General features: G+C 37.7%; 1 annotated feature.

The window, feature by feature from the left end:
- Positions 13,904–14,107: a silencer, noted in NCBI's record as "fragment chr10:8585341-8585544 (GRCh37/hg19 assembly coordinates)". NCBI's record gives its function as "represses an EF-1alpha promoter that drives an FKBP-Casp9 reporter gene in an ReSE screen in K562 erythroleukemia cells {active_cell/tissue: K562}" and the evidence as "EXISTENCE:reporter gene assay evidence [ECO:0000049][PMID:32094911]".

Raw genomic sequence — 14,751 nt, 5'->3', positions numbered from 1 at the left:
TGGCCCAGGCTACCTCTTTCATCCCTGCACTAAGTCACCTGGTTGCAAGAAACCCTCTGTCCTCAGGACCTGAAGTAAAAGTGCAATATAAATGTTCCCCTTCCTGCAGGGCCGTCTGAGATTCCCCCAGCCAGATGTCACAATCCTTTCTCTCATTCATTCCTTTGTATTTTATTCAATTTTTTTCCCAACAAATATTTTCAGCCCAACTGTTTATGAGACAAAATGGAAAGTACGCTGTAGTTTTCTTGTGGCTTTCACCATGGTCTACTCTATTGTCCTGGCTGGCCTTTACTGAGGTGCTACTGTGTGCCAAGAACTGGGCTGGGCACTTCATGTACAATTCATTTATTCCATCTTCACAACAAATCTGTGAAGCCTGGGTGTTATTCACTTTAAATAGATAAGCAAACAAGCTCAGAAGGATTAAGCAGCACCATAGTAAATAGAAGAGTTGTGTCTGACTCCAACACCTGTTATTTTTCTAGTACATAAAATAGATAACATCAGAGCTACTCTGATTGAAGCAAGATTGTGGAATCCAGAAACCACATAGATTACCATCCCTTACTCCTGAGGAAACTGTGTCCTTTCTAGATTCCACAATTTGAAACAATTTTACTACTATATTCCTTTAATCCCTGCATAATTTGAATTTCCTCAAAGACAAGAACAATACCTTATTGATTATACTAATTTCAACACCACTTTGCCCTGTGCCATGGACATGAAGGGTGCTCAGCAGAGATGAGCTGAATTCCTCAGCACTCCATCACATACAACATTATGCCAGAGAACAGCCAGCATCCTCTATGAATTCCCACAGCCACCAAGTTTTATCATTGCTGTCTATGAGCACAAGAAAACTCTCCTTCAGGTAAGATGTTAGGACATAACTTTCTTGGAGTAGGTCTTTACATCATTAGGGATTGCCAGGGGGCAAGTCTCTACAGGAATCTTTGTAATTATTCCAATAAATGGAATGTAGGAAGAGCTCATTTCTACTACTGCTATTTTGTAGTCATCTGGAAGGCCAGTGGGCACACAGTCATGCTCCACTAATACCTATTAGGGAAAGGCAAGCTGGCATAAGAAAAATAGCTATCAGGATAAGAGACAAAGGAAAAATTCTACCTGAATGGTTTTTGGAGTTTGGGGGAGTGTCTGAAGCCAGCTTGTATAGGGCGGACATCTGGTTTCAGGCAGCACATAATCCGGTTGTTGTCATGGGGCAGGGTAGACAACATCAGAGACTCTAATCTCCCTGGGGAACACACCCCAGGGATGTGTTCTGAAGATGGTAAGAGGCAGGAGTACAAGAAGCTTCTACGAATGAACAGGTTTGGGAAATGTTGCCTCCTTCATCTTCTCTTTGACATTCTCAATGCATTTTAAAAATTGTAAGTCCAAGAAGTCTCACCCATATTTACCAAATTTCCTTAACCACAGACACCTTTTTTGAGGAACACCAATTGCCACCTTGCAGAACACAGGCTTCCATGGGACTCATTTTGATGACTGTTAAGTAGCAAAATGCCACTCTTTAGTTATGGCTACACTTTTGTCATTGGTCTCAGTCGAGGAACATGGAAGCAGGCACAGGTCTAGTTGAGGCTTGGTGTGAGGCCAGAGTAATCTAAGACTGGGATGGGCAAACTGTGGCCCACAGGCCAAATCCAGGCTGCCTCATGGCATTATAAATGAAGTTTCATTGGAAAACTCCCATGTCCAAGCATACTGACTACATCTATTTCAGTGCTACATTGGCAGAGTTGAGTAGTTGTGACAGAGATCATAAGGCCTGCAAAGCCCTAAAAGAAGTGAATATCTATCCCTATACAGAAAATGTTTGTCACTCTAGCTATCTAGATGTCAAGTCTAGGATATCTCATTCCTATTTAAATCGTGTTACACAAAAAAAATTGAATTTTAAAAACCATGCTATGAACCTATTCTATCTTCTCTTTCTTAAGTTCAAACTCTCGCACATATTTATTTTTTGCCATATTTCCAATGTGAGATCCCACACACAAGTACTATGAAAATACTGGCTCTTACAACTCACAGATTTAGCTAAATAAATGACCCAATTCATATCATCTTCTTCTCCCTTTTCCTATGTCTACTTTTGTTGAGATCTTATTCTCCTTATTTCTAGTTAATACCCCTTACTCCCTAAGGCTTTTCAGTTCAAAGGAATATTCTAGAGAAACCTACTGATTTCCACCAGACCTGACACAAATAAGACCCTTTGCAGTGCCCTCCACCAATATGAAATGTGTGCTCCAAAGCCGCTTTCTCGATATGGGGAGAGAATGGCATGATAACGTCAGCCCAATGCTAGCACTACTTGCCCACTCTCTACTTTAATGTGCTGAGGCAAGACTTTAGCAAAATAAATACAAGTTGAATCCTAATGATGTTTTTTTCAATAGATCTCTTGGGACCATCTTTCTGTAGAAGAGAGTCCCAGGACGAGACTGTTCCTTTAAGGAAGTACATGTATTGTACTTTCTTTTTCCAATATTCAAAATTAAGCCCCTCCAAATGGCTTACAAACCGAAGTTTATAACGTCAGCCTACACAAGTTCAGTGCAAAAAGATCTACAGCCTGCAGGCAGAGCGAGGAAGCTCTTTAAAGATGAATCATTTTCATAAATGAGTGCAGAGGGAGGTCAGGCCAGGGAACAGGGAAGGTTACATGTGTGCCTGAGATAAGGCCTCATCCATCCTCCTCTTACTGTCAGGCCTTGATGGGTGAACACTGCCTTGAGCTCCCATAAAACATGTTGTTTGCAGAAAACTTGCAGGTGGTTCATAAAAAAGTCCAAACTGTTACCATGAAATTTATCTTCCACTGTGGGATCTGTTTATAATAGAAACGAAGGATCTCAAATAGAAATTAAGTATCTCAGACTGACTTATATTGGCTGGGAGGATTGAAAAATTCAACCTGCTTCCCAATCATCGCACTAAAAACGTCAAAGTATTTGTATTGATGACATCTTGACAAGATACGAGTATGTTCAAAAGAAAAATAATGTCCATTGTGTGCACAGTCCTTATCCCTGGGGTAAGAATAGGCTAGGTGAGATTTTATGGGGAGAATTTAATCAGACAACTGAACTCTTCATCACATTTTATTTCTGAAGAGTGTCAAGGATCTGTTATTTACAATTTTTCCATCTGTATGGTCAAAGTGAAAAGGGCATCTCAATTTTTTTAAGTTGTTAGGAGATGTTTATTATCTCAAAGCCAAAAAGAGATTGGGGGCAGCGGTAATATTGGCCGTAATTTGAGTTATCTCCATATAGAAATTGAAGGGGGGATGCTGGGACAATTCGTGTAGATAATTCAGACCCTAAAGCTTCCAGAACTAGAAATAAAGAGATAAGTGAGGAAGATGCACTAAATTTTGCTTGTCTTTGTTTTCCCAGAACTGTGCTTATAATTGACTCAATTTATCACATCACATACACATGCACCTGTATGGTGGTGTGAAGTTGCTGAAAAGAGTTGTAGTCATAAATTTTAAATTGATGAACTTTAGCGTCTACATGGAAGAATATTATGCAGAAAACAATTCATAGAATCCCAGCAAGTTCTAGCGGGAGGGACCTTGGATAGGACATAGCTCAGAATCTCAACCCCCAACCACAGACAAGAAAGACAAAAGTCTGCAACAATAAGGAGGACTCACAAGTGCTTCTACTACTGTGACAGTAGTTGTGATCCAGGTCTTCATTCCACCCGAATTCTTCTTCTCCATTCCTTCTCACCAGGGTGGATGTGTAAGGTCAGACTACAACGTGGGCTGAGAAGCACTGTATCTAATCCAATACCTTCAATTTAAATGAGACCTGGCTTTAAAAAATAGTGACAAGTCAGAGATGTCCCACTTCAGTACCTTCTTTGTCCTACTTTTTACCTGCCTCCAATCCTGCACCTTGGACACCCAAGCCACTCTTGGAGGAATCACTGTGGCCTTCCTTCATAAAAGGTCCTGTGTGCTCTACCCAAAAAGTATTCAACTCCTCCTCATTTAATTTAAAATTAGCACTTTATATCCATGCTCTCTTCCCCTCTCTCACTGTCAAGAAAAAATATGAAATGGTTTGGCTCAGTGTCCCCACCCACATCTCATCTCTAATTGTAATCCCTAGTGTTGGAGGAGGGACCTGGTGGGAAGTCACTGGGTCATGGGGGCAGTTTCTAATGGTCTAGCACCATCCCTCTAGTGCTGTCTAGTGATGGAGTTCTCACGAAATCTGGTTGTTTAAAAGGTGTAGCATTAGCAAACAATGGGCACACACAAAAAAAGGTGTGGAGCACCTCTCCTCATTCCTCTCTTCCTCCTGCTCTGGCATGTGAAGTGCCAACTTCCCCTTCACCTTTTGCCATGACTGAAGCTGGGCAGATGCTACCATGCTTCTTGTACAGCCTGCAGAACCATGAGCCAATTAAACCTTTTTTCTTTGTAAATTACCCAGTCCCAGGTATTTCTTTATAGCAGTGTGAGAACAGACTAAGACAAGTTGTCTAAGGACTGAATAGTTCTAAGACTTAATGTTGCCCTGTTTGTGATAACAGCAAGTCAAAGTGGGTAGATAATTCCAGTCAAGTATGTTGTTCGAAAATAATGGATTTATAACACTGGAGTTTTAGGCACCATGACAAGCAGAAGAAGAGTATATTTGGAAATAAGGTGGTGTTATGGACTGAATGTTTGTGACCCCCTCCCCAAAATTCATATGTTGAACCCCTAGCCTCCATAATGGGAGGGTATTAGGAGGTGGGACCTTTTGGAAGGTAATTAGGTCATGAGAGTGGAGACCTCATGACGGGATTAGTGTCCTTATAAGATGAGATACCAGAGAGCTTGGCCCTTCTCTCTGCTGTCCACCATATGAGGATACAGCAAGAAGGCAGCCATCTGCAAACCAGGAAGAGAGCCCTTGCTAGATGCAGGATCTGCCAGCACTTTGATTATGGATTTCCAGGCTCCACAACCGTGAGAAATAAACATTTGTTGTTTAGCCCTCCAAGTTTAGGGTAATCTGGTATAGCAGCACTAACTGACTTAGACAGGGAGCTTCTCAGCACTTTAGGGACCCATTTACATATATAGCTTTCCACATATTTTTGTCAGTTCTTGTTTTATATTTCAGGTGTTGAAGTTAAGTAGTAGCTTACAATTTAAAATATTGTGTTGGAGGAATTTAGCAAATGTCATGCCCCTAAGGTTATTTAATTAATATTCTCTGAAGTAGACAGCTTGAATATAAATAATATGCTAAGAGGCATTGTCTATACTATTGGACAACTGTTATTTGCAGTTTTAAATCATGAAATAGAAATGACTTCATCTGCCCTTCAGTCTTCTCTACTGTTCTAGCAGGATTCTGTGATGACTCAGACAAGTGAACTACTATCTTAATCCCAAAGACTTCAATGAAAAGATTCACCCCCTGTCTTTTCCTCTCATTTCAGTGTTTAATATCACTTGCCATCATGGAATGCTTTCCAATCTAAACCCTTCCCATGACAAGGTTTTAATAGTTACTAAGCACCACAGAAGGCCTTGACGTACTCATTTAATAAACAAAAATCACTTGAGCAATTTCTACATCTAAACAGCATATTAAATAGTAGAGATAAGGTGTCTCATGCATGTAGCGTACAACCAAACAAAGAAATTAAAAGGCAAATGTAACTACTCTTGTAAGTCATGGTATATATAATAGTTAAAACTTACATAATGCTGATTATCATAACAAAAACTACTATGCGAAGAAGTTTACTAAAAATAACTAATTTACTCCTACAACACTATAGAGTGTTATTATCCCTATTTTATAGATGAGAAAACTAAGACTTAGGTTAAGTTACTTACTCAAGGACACAGAAAATGGAAGAGCTGAGAGTTTATCAATTAAGTGAAATTTTAAGTTTTCTAAAATATTTTCAATATTTCTCACTTCCGTGACCTCATGGAACCAATAACACTTATTTAAAAGAAAAGAAATCTATTCTACATGTAAATGTGCCAAGCAAGTGTCTCCATTTGTTATCAAACTATCTTGGTCTTAGCTCAACTTCCAAAATGATAGTTTTAGAAAATAAAGTTAAGAAGATCACTAAACTGGATTATAGTACCACTATACCAAGCACCTTGGTGTTTTGCCAATTAAGCTTTAGTGTTGAATTGTTAATATACTAATCTTCTTTGACCTAAAACAAAACCATCAAAAAAAAAAAAAAAAAAAGAATCTCAAAAAGATACTCTTTCCTGCTCAACCCAATGTGCCATGAGCTATATTTCCTCCCATGGTCACCAGTAGGCACCAGAGCTAACATTCCTGAAATTTTTTGTCCATTTAGAATTATTTAGATAAAATTGGTTTAAGCGACTCTTTGTGCCCCTTTACTTACCATTCTCCAGGCTTTTGTTGAACACTAATTATTCAGTGCAAAGCAGAGTAGAAAATAGAGGAATAAGCCCTATGCCTACCTTGCCCTCAAACTGTTGTATAGTCAATAAAGGAGATAAGATATATACATAAATAAAAAAAGATAAAGTAAAAAGTGGGAGTAGCCGTAAGAGAATAAAACTTCCAATCTGGAGAAGATCAAATGAGGCTGCGTGGGAATGAGGCTTTTGAGTTAGACCTTGGAAGTGAAGAAAAAAAAAAAAAAAGAATGCACATTCTATTAAAGTTTAAGAAAGCAAAGAGAATATTTGATGTACAGAGAGAACAAAAAGCTGTTTGATTTAACCAAAAAGGTACGTCGTATAAGATCTTATGACTGTCACACAAAGACATTTGAATTTCGTTTTCTTAGAGGATGGAATTCGTGAAGGGATTTTTAACAGGAGGGGCAAACATTAAAGTTTTGGTTTAGTATGATTGGTTCATCCCGAGCCAGCTCTCAACACTTCTTGGAACAAGAACACATTCAATTCATATTTGAAGACTTGTTTAGTGTATACAGGTTGTTGAGAGGAGAGACTGTTAGGGCAATTCAAGTGATATTTTATTAGAGCCTAAACTAGGAAGCAGAAGTGCAGAGGAGTAACAGATGAGAATAATTTTGTAAAGACACAGTTGATATAATTTGACATCAGATATCAAGATGATGGAGAAGAATGGGAAAGAATCAAATATAAATTCACCACTATCATGAGGATAGTAGTAACATTATTCAAAGTACAAAATATTAGATATATTATTTCTAATTACTCGATAAATTTGTAAATATTGTTCTTAACCTTCTTGATCACAATTTGCACACATATTCCACTTGTAATAAAACATCATATGATACAATGAACTGAAATAGAGGCAAAGATGGCAGGACATGTTTTGCCAAGGACATTTTTACAGATCAGTATTAAAATTCTCCAGTGGTTAAAGATAATGATTTGTAGAATGAGGTAGAGAAAAAGCTTACAGAGCTATCAGCTTATTATTCAGAAAAATCACTTTGCTTTAGCAAGTTGCAATCATGCTATTGAGAAAAAATAAACAAAAAAAAGTAAAGAAGATTGTTAAAACAATATAAGATGATTGGGTAATTAGACTTAATTCTAGCCTAAGAATCATATATTCTAGAAGAATGTGGGAAATATAATTTCAAACAAAGATAACCTAGTCAAGATGGAATAAAGGCATTCAAATTTCCTTCTCACCTAAAACAATAAAAAACTTGACAAAATATATGAAATAATGGTCTGTGAGCCCTTGGATATAGGAAAATAAAGGGCAATTATTATTAAAATATGGGGAACAAATAAAACGAGCCTTAAAATTGTCCAAGCTTACTTCCTCGAGAGAGTTTGCAGGCCACAGTGGAGGGAAGGGTAACTCAGATCAAATTTGGCATATTCCATGAGTTGTGAAGATGGAATTAAGGGGAGTCAAGGCAGCTAGTATTTGAAGGATAAAGCATCAAATAGGAGACAGCTACACACAGAGCGAATGCCAGGATCTACAGTATTCCCCTCTGACATTCAACTTAGTTCTGATCAGCTTATGCATGTGAAGTCCAGGAAAAGCACCACCTGAAAGGATCAGGAGGTCACAGTGCCTGGCACTCACCCAAGGCTGGGAATAGTGTCTATTTCCAAGAGCCAGATTGGAAAGCCTTGATATTCACAGGGTCCTCAGTAGAGTACACAAATCGATCTCTCCTCAGTAGTGGAGAAGATTTAGTCCTAGAGTAAGCACTGCTCCAGTTCACCTACCAAATCTGAAAAGCAAGACCCAAAAAGGATCGAACTGTTTCTAAGTAACTTGTCTACATCCCAGAACAAAGCTTAAGAATACCCCTAGAAAAGAAAAATATCCAACACCTAATAAGGTGAGATTCACAATGTCTAGCATTCAATCAAAAAGTATCAGGCATGCAAAGAACACAGGAAAAAGCCATCAATCAGACCCATAACAGACACAGATATTAAAACTTGTAGCCGACAAGGACATTAAAACCATTGTTACAAATCAATTTCATTCATTCCAAAAGTTAAATAGAAAGATGAACGGTATAGAAAAGACTCAAGGCCAACTACTAGAAATGAAAAATCAATGTGTGTGAAAAGGAAATCTCACTAGATGGGATTAATGGCAGATTAGATATTATGGAAGAAAAAAGTAATAAACTCTACAACGTAACATTGGAAACGGTCCAAAACAAAACATAAAGAGAAAAAACAATTTTTAAAAAAAGATGTATCACTGAGCTATGAGAAAATTTCAAGCAATCAAATATATATATATCCTATTTGTAATTGGAGTCTCCAAAAGAGAAGAAGGGGAAGAAAATTAATTGAAGAAATAATGGCTGAAATTTTTGCACATTTAATGAAAACTATAAACTCGTAGATTGAAGAAGGTTAACAAATCCCAGATATTAGGAACATGTAGAAAACCACACCAAGGCACACGTATCAAATTATTCAAAACCAGTGCTAAAGAGAAAACCTTTAAAACAGCCAGAGGAAGAAAGACACATTACATACAAAAAAACAAAACAAAACAAAACAAAAAAAAACAAAGATACAGGTGGCAGCAGATTTCTTCTCAGAAACAATCCAGATAAGAAGACACACTTTGAAATATTGAAAGAAAACCAAAATTGACAAAGTAGAATTATTCACCAAACAAAAAAAAAATTCCTCTCAAAAGCAAAGGTAAAATGAATTCATCTGCAGCAGATCCACATTACATGAAATGTTGAAGTATGTCTTTCAGACAGAAGGAAAATAAAACCAGATGGAAATATAAATATATACAAGAGAATCTAGAGTACTGGAAAGATTAACACTAGGGCAGGTATATAAGATTTTTTCTTATTATTTAAATTTCTATCAAAGATAATCATCTAATTAAGCAAAAATAATATAAACGTAGCATAATAAACATAAAATACTATACAATTATAGCATAAAGATGGAGGAGGGAGAAACAGAAGTCTACTATTGTAGCATTCTTATACTTATGTATGTGGAGTGGTACATGATTACTTAAAGATAGACTTCAGTAAGTTAAAGATGCATACAATAAATCCTAAAGCAACTACTGAACAAGCACAAATAAAGAGATACAATCATACGTCCACAAGGGAGATAAAATAGAATCATAAAAAATATGTAATTAACCCAAAAGAAGGCAGAACAGGTGAAAGAGAGAGAGAGAGAAGAGATGGGACACATAGAAAATAAATTGCAAGGTAATGTATTTCAACCTAATCATATCAATAATAACATTAAATGCAAGTAGTGTAAATGTCCAATCTAAAGGCAGATATTATATAAGGTTAAATAAAAAACAAGACCCAACTGTGTGCTGCTTACTTTAAATATAGATAAGAAGTAAAAGGGTTGAAAAAGATATTTTATTCCAACAGTAATAAAATGAAATCTGGCTATATTAATATCAGACAAAGTGGATTTCAGAGAAAAGAATGTTACTGGGGATAAAGAAGGTAATTTCATAACGATAAAGGGATCAATTACTAAGAGGTCATAAAAATCCTAAATATTTATGCAGCTGAAAACAAGCAAAAACGGATAGAATTTCAAGGAGAAATAGACAAATCCATAAGTAAGAGAGTGACTAATTGTTAACACATTCATTCAACAAAAATATACTAAAATCCTCCAAACACAAGACATTGTGCCAGATGCGAAGGAGACTACAAATGACTTTAGACTCCTCAGGTACATAACAAAAAATTTGTGTGATAATCTCTACTCACTCTTCCAATTCTTCCATGATTTTGTTTTTTACAAGTTCACAAATCCTTATAAAAATAATAATAATAATTAATACCTCTCAAATTTGGCATGATCTAGGTGCCCAGGTGTGATACTCAGTTTTATGTATCAGCTTTCCTGGGCTACAGGATGCCCAGATAGCTGGCTAAACATTATTTCTGGATGTGTGTACCAAGGTGTTTCCAGAAGAGATTACAATTTGAATTGGTGGACTCAGTACAGCAGATCACCCTCACCAATGTGGGTAGGCATCATCCAAGGGATTTAGCTCTTGACTAAGACAAAAACAATAATAGAGAAAGGGAAGATATTCTCTCTCTCTCTCTCTCTCTCTCTCTCTCTCTCTCTCTCTCTCTCTCTCTCTCTCGACTGCTTGAGCTGTGGGATCAATCTCCTGCCCTCATGTTTCTTAGGCCTTCAGACCCAGACTGGAATCTATACTATAGTCTCCAGCTCTCAGGCCTTCAAACTACATCACCAAATTTCCTGGGTCTCCAACTTGCAGATGGCAGATCTTGGGACTTCTCAGCCTCCATAATCATGTGAGTTGATATCTCGTAATATATTCTAATGGTTCTGCTTCTCTGGAGAACCGTAATACACCAGGATACAAAATTCAAAGTACCAGATTTCTTTGCCTTAAATCTCTTTTGAATGTAGGCAGCTACAAGTAAATAACAATAAACAAAAACAGGGCCATGTGGTAAGTATCCTAACATGGGTATGTTAAAAGACCCAACTATGCCTAGGGAGGGGAGGTAAAACTACAGAAAAAAGGTGGCATAACCTGAATGTGGAGTTTGAGGGGAACCCCTTCCCATGGAAGAGGACCCTGGGGGAAAGAAGGCCAGCACTTCCAGAGCTCAGGAGCACCATAGAATATTCAGCAAATGTTAAGAATCCTAGTCCATCTTGAAAACTGGTGTACAAAGAAGTCTGAATTTCCAACAGGATCACCCATTCAATCATGAAGAGATTTCCAAGTCATGCGAAGTAACTGTTTTTCCAATCCATTAGTAATGGGGAACAATGAAAGGGTTTATTTTTATTATAAACATAATTTGTGCATTTATGGGAAATATTAAGTATAAAGTAATAGTTTCCCTTACGTATCTACTCAAACTTCCTCCTCTCATGATAGAATTTTAAGCAGAGGAGTAATAAGCATTTATTACATTAGCATTTTAAACATATCACTATGGTAGCCACATAGGTGGAGAGGAAAATCAAAACTGGAAACATACTTGGGGTTGTAAAATCGAGAGAGTCCCGGATTGCAAAAGGATTAAAATCAATTAGATGATATAGGGCCTATTTCAGGTAAGTTCTTTTGGAGGATATCAGAGGAGATTTTTTGCATATCAGAAATGACATTCAGCCAGGTTTGGTGGCTCACACCTGTAATCCTAGCACTTTGGGAGGCCAAGGTGAGAGGATTGCTTGAGCCTAGGAGTTCAAGACCAGCCTGGGCTACATAGTAAAACTCCATCTCTACAAAATTAAATTAAATTAAATTAAATTAAATTAAATTAAATTAGCTGAGTGTGGTGGTATGCACCTGTAGTCTCAGCCACTCAGGAGGCTGAGCTGGGACGATCACTTGAGCCAGGGAGGTCGAGGCTGCAATGAGCCATGATCTTGCCACTGCAATCCAGCCTGGGTGACAAAGCAAGACCCTGTGTCAAAAAAAGAAAAAAAAGGAAGAAAGGAAGAGAGAAAGAAAGAGGAAGGAAGGAAGGAAGGAAGGAAGGAAGGAAGGAAGGAAGGAAGGAAGGAAGGAAGGAAGGAAGGAAAGAAGAAAGAAAGAAAGAAAGAAAGAAAGAAAGAAAGAAAGAAAGAAAGAAAGAAAGAAAGAAAGAAAAGAAAGAAAGAAAGAGAAAGAAAGAGAAAGGAAGAAAAAAAGAATAAGAAGAAGGAAGGAAGGAAAGAAAGAAAGAGGAAGGAAGGAAGGACATTCAAGACGTGTTCACATGCTGAAATGGGAGAAAGAGTATTTTAGTTAAAAGGACTGGCATAAGAAATGATACAGAACAAGGAAGGTGCCACGCATATCTCAAAAGCAGCAACCACTCCAGTGGGGCTTGAATAAAGGGTCCTGGCTGGGCCATAATGAGAAAGAAGGCTGGGAAGGGGAATAGGAGGAAGTCCACAAAGAGCTTCAAACAGCAGTCTAAGCTGTAGGAATCCCTTGACCATGTCTGACCAGCAGATAGGACCTGTGGTTTAGGATGGGTTAGAAAGGAGGAGAAGGGAGCCTGGTTACGAAACCGCTCATTAATGAAGAACCAAGTTAACATGGCAGCACTAGGAGCACACAGGTGCAAGAGACGTCATGGAAGCAATGAGTTCGGGGAGGTGGAAGAAAAGTTGTAGAATTTCTGGAAAGCTAGAGAGCCTCAGGCTCCAAACTATTAAGGCCCTTTTCGAGTTTCCTCTTGTTATCCATGAGTTCCAGACTGGAGTTAGTAATCTGGGCTTATTCATGCCAACATGTCCCATAAAGATACAAAAGGAGATACACACATTCACAAATAGACATATACACAGATATAAAGATACACAGATAGACTGATACCAAGGTACATCGACTCATAGATCCAGGTACAACGTATAATTGGAAGGATACCTGTTTGTTATTCCAGATCTCAACTGTGCTTCGCAAAGAGCAAGAAAATGTTCCAAAGTTTGGCTCCAAACATTTCTAAAAACTGGGTGATAGGTCAGAGAGTAAGTGGGAAGAGCAAGAGTTCTCACTTTTTCCAAACCAGTTCTCCCATTTCTCTACCACATAACATTACCAGTATAACAGGTTTGCCGGTTGATTGAACATAAAAGCACTCCTACTCCTTCCCAAAATGCCCCAAGTCTGTTGAAGTGCACACAGGACCCTTAAATTTTAAGCTGTCTTCCTAAATACACACAAACAGTGCAGTGAGTGATATTACACTTGTTGAGTCAACCATGCTAGGGCTTTGAGCCTGGGTGAAGTTCCAGGTATTTCAAAACCTCAGGCTCAGGCCACTTAAACTAGCCCTAAGGCTTTTATAAGAGCTATAATCCCCAGCTAAACACAAGCAGCAAGAACTTGATTTTGCACATTTCATGAACGCTGATCACAAGTTAAGTCACCGGGCTCTGGGTGATGCAATGACTCTTGAATAACTAGGTAGCTGCTTTGGGTATGTTAGTTAATGCTACATGATAACATAGTAATAACAATTAACTCAATCACATTCTAAAGGAAGTGCTATAAGGATCCTACACTGTGGTTTAGAAAGCAGAGGTAATTACAGCTCTACCCTATAATTTTATGGTTTATCTAGCCCTATAAGCATGCCACTTGATGAGAACAAAAGAGGTGCTATGCAACTTTCATTGAGAAACCAGGGAGCCTTGTGAAACACTGAAGACTTACCCATAAAAATCTGAATTTTTAACTTGAAACAAGAAAGTTAAGATCTTATCCATCCCAGTTTTAATTAGAGAGATAAAAGGATGTGAAAAGAAACAATGCAATTGGCAATTAAAGCTCATCTATGAATAAAATTCTTTGTTCTCCAAATGTGGTTTAGAATTGAGTGAACAGCTTCCTGTTTAGAGACTCCCATACTGGAAGGCAGAGAAATGCCCTGTGTTCCAGTGGCCTCTGTCCCGTGGTATCTGGCTATCCGCCAAAACAACTACCTCTCCTGTTCTGCAGTTCTCACACAATGATGAAAGGTCTTGACTCTAGACTTACAACTTGGGTTTGCAAGCTACCTCCCTGCCAGCTCTATTAGGTTAAATAAATGACTTACCCCATCAACCTCAGGTTCCGCACCTGTAAATTGGGACTAATAATTTATGTGAAAGATTATTGGAAAAGCATGTAAAAATGCTTTGTAAAATCTAAATACTAAAAAAAAAAAATTATCACTATGCCATATATTGTTACCTGATACACTATGAGGGTGGAAATGCAACATATTATAGAAGAAACACTAAAATGTTTGTATTTAGAAGTTAGTGCAAATGAAAACACAGATGTAATACTTTCTAAACCAGCATATTTTTAAAATGTGCTACTATCCTTACTAAAGTAGCAGCATTTCAGTTGGATAGTAATGTAGATTCTATTAAGCAAGGACGTATGAAGAAAGAGTTGCATAGCTAAGTACAAAAATATTATGTAGTCAACCATGGTTACTGCCTAGATGATGAAACAAAATATGCCCAAACTGAAATAAAAACATCACTAGTGTTGTGTTCTATAATAACCTTTCATATCCCAGGAGAGGAAGTTAAATAGGATTCTCTCACTGGTCTTAAAATATTTGTCTATCAGGTGGAAATATTCGTAATAATGTGTGGAATACTTTCTGAATGTCATTTCCTGTTATAAAGAGACAAAACTAAGCCTTGATGTCCACTTTCCCCAAACATCTGACCAAAAAAAAAGATGTTTTAAGTTTATTAACAGAAACATGAAATGAAAA

This window comes from Homo sapiens, chromosome 10 (genome assembly GCF_000001405.40).
Source record: "Homo sapiens chromosome 10, GRCh38.p14 Primary Assembly".
Classification (NCBI taxonomy): Eukaryota; Metazoa; Chordata; class Mammalia; order Primates; family Hominidae; genus Homo; species Homo sapiens.
This window is presented reverse-complemented; position numbering and strand designations above follow the sequence as displayed.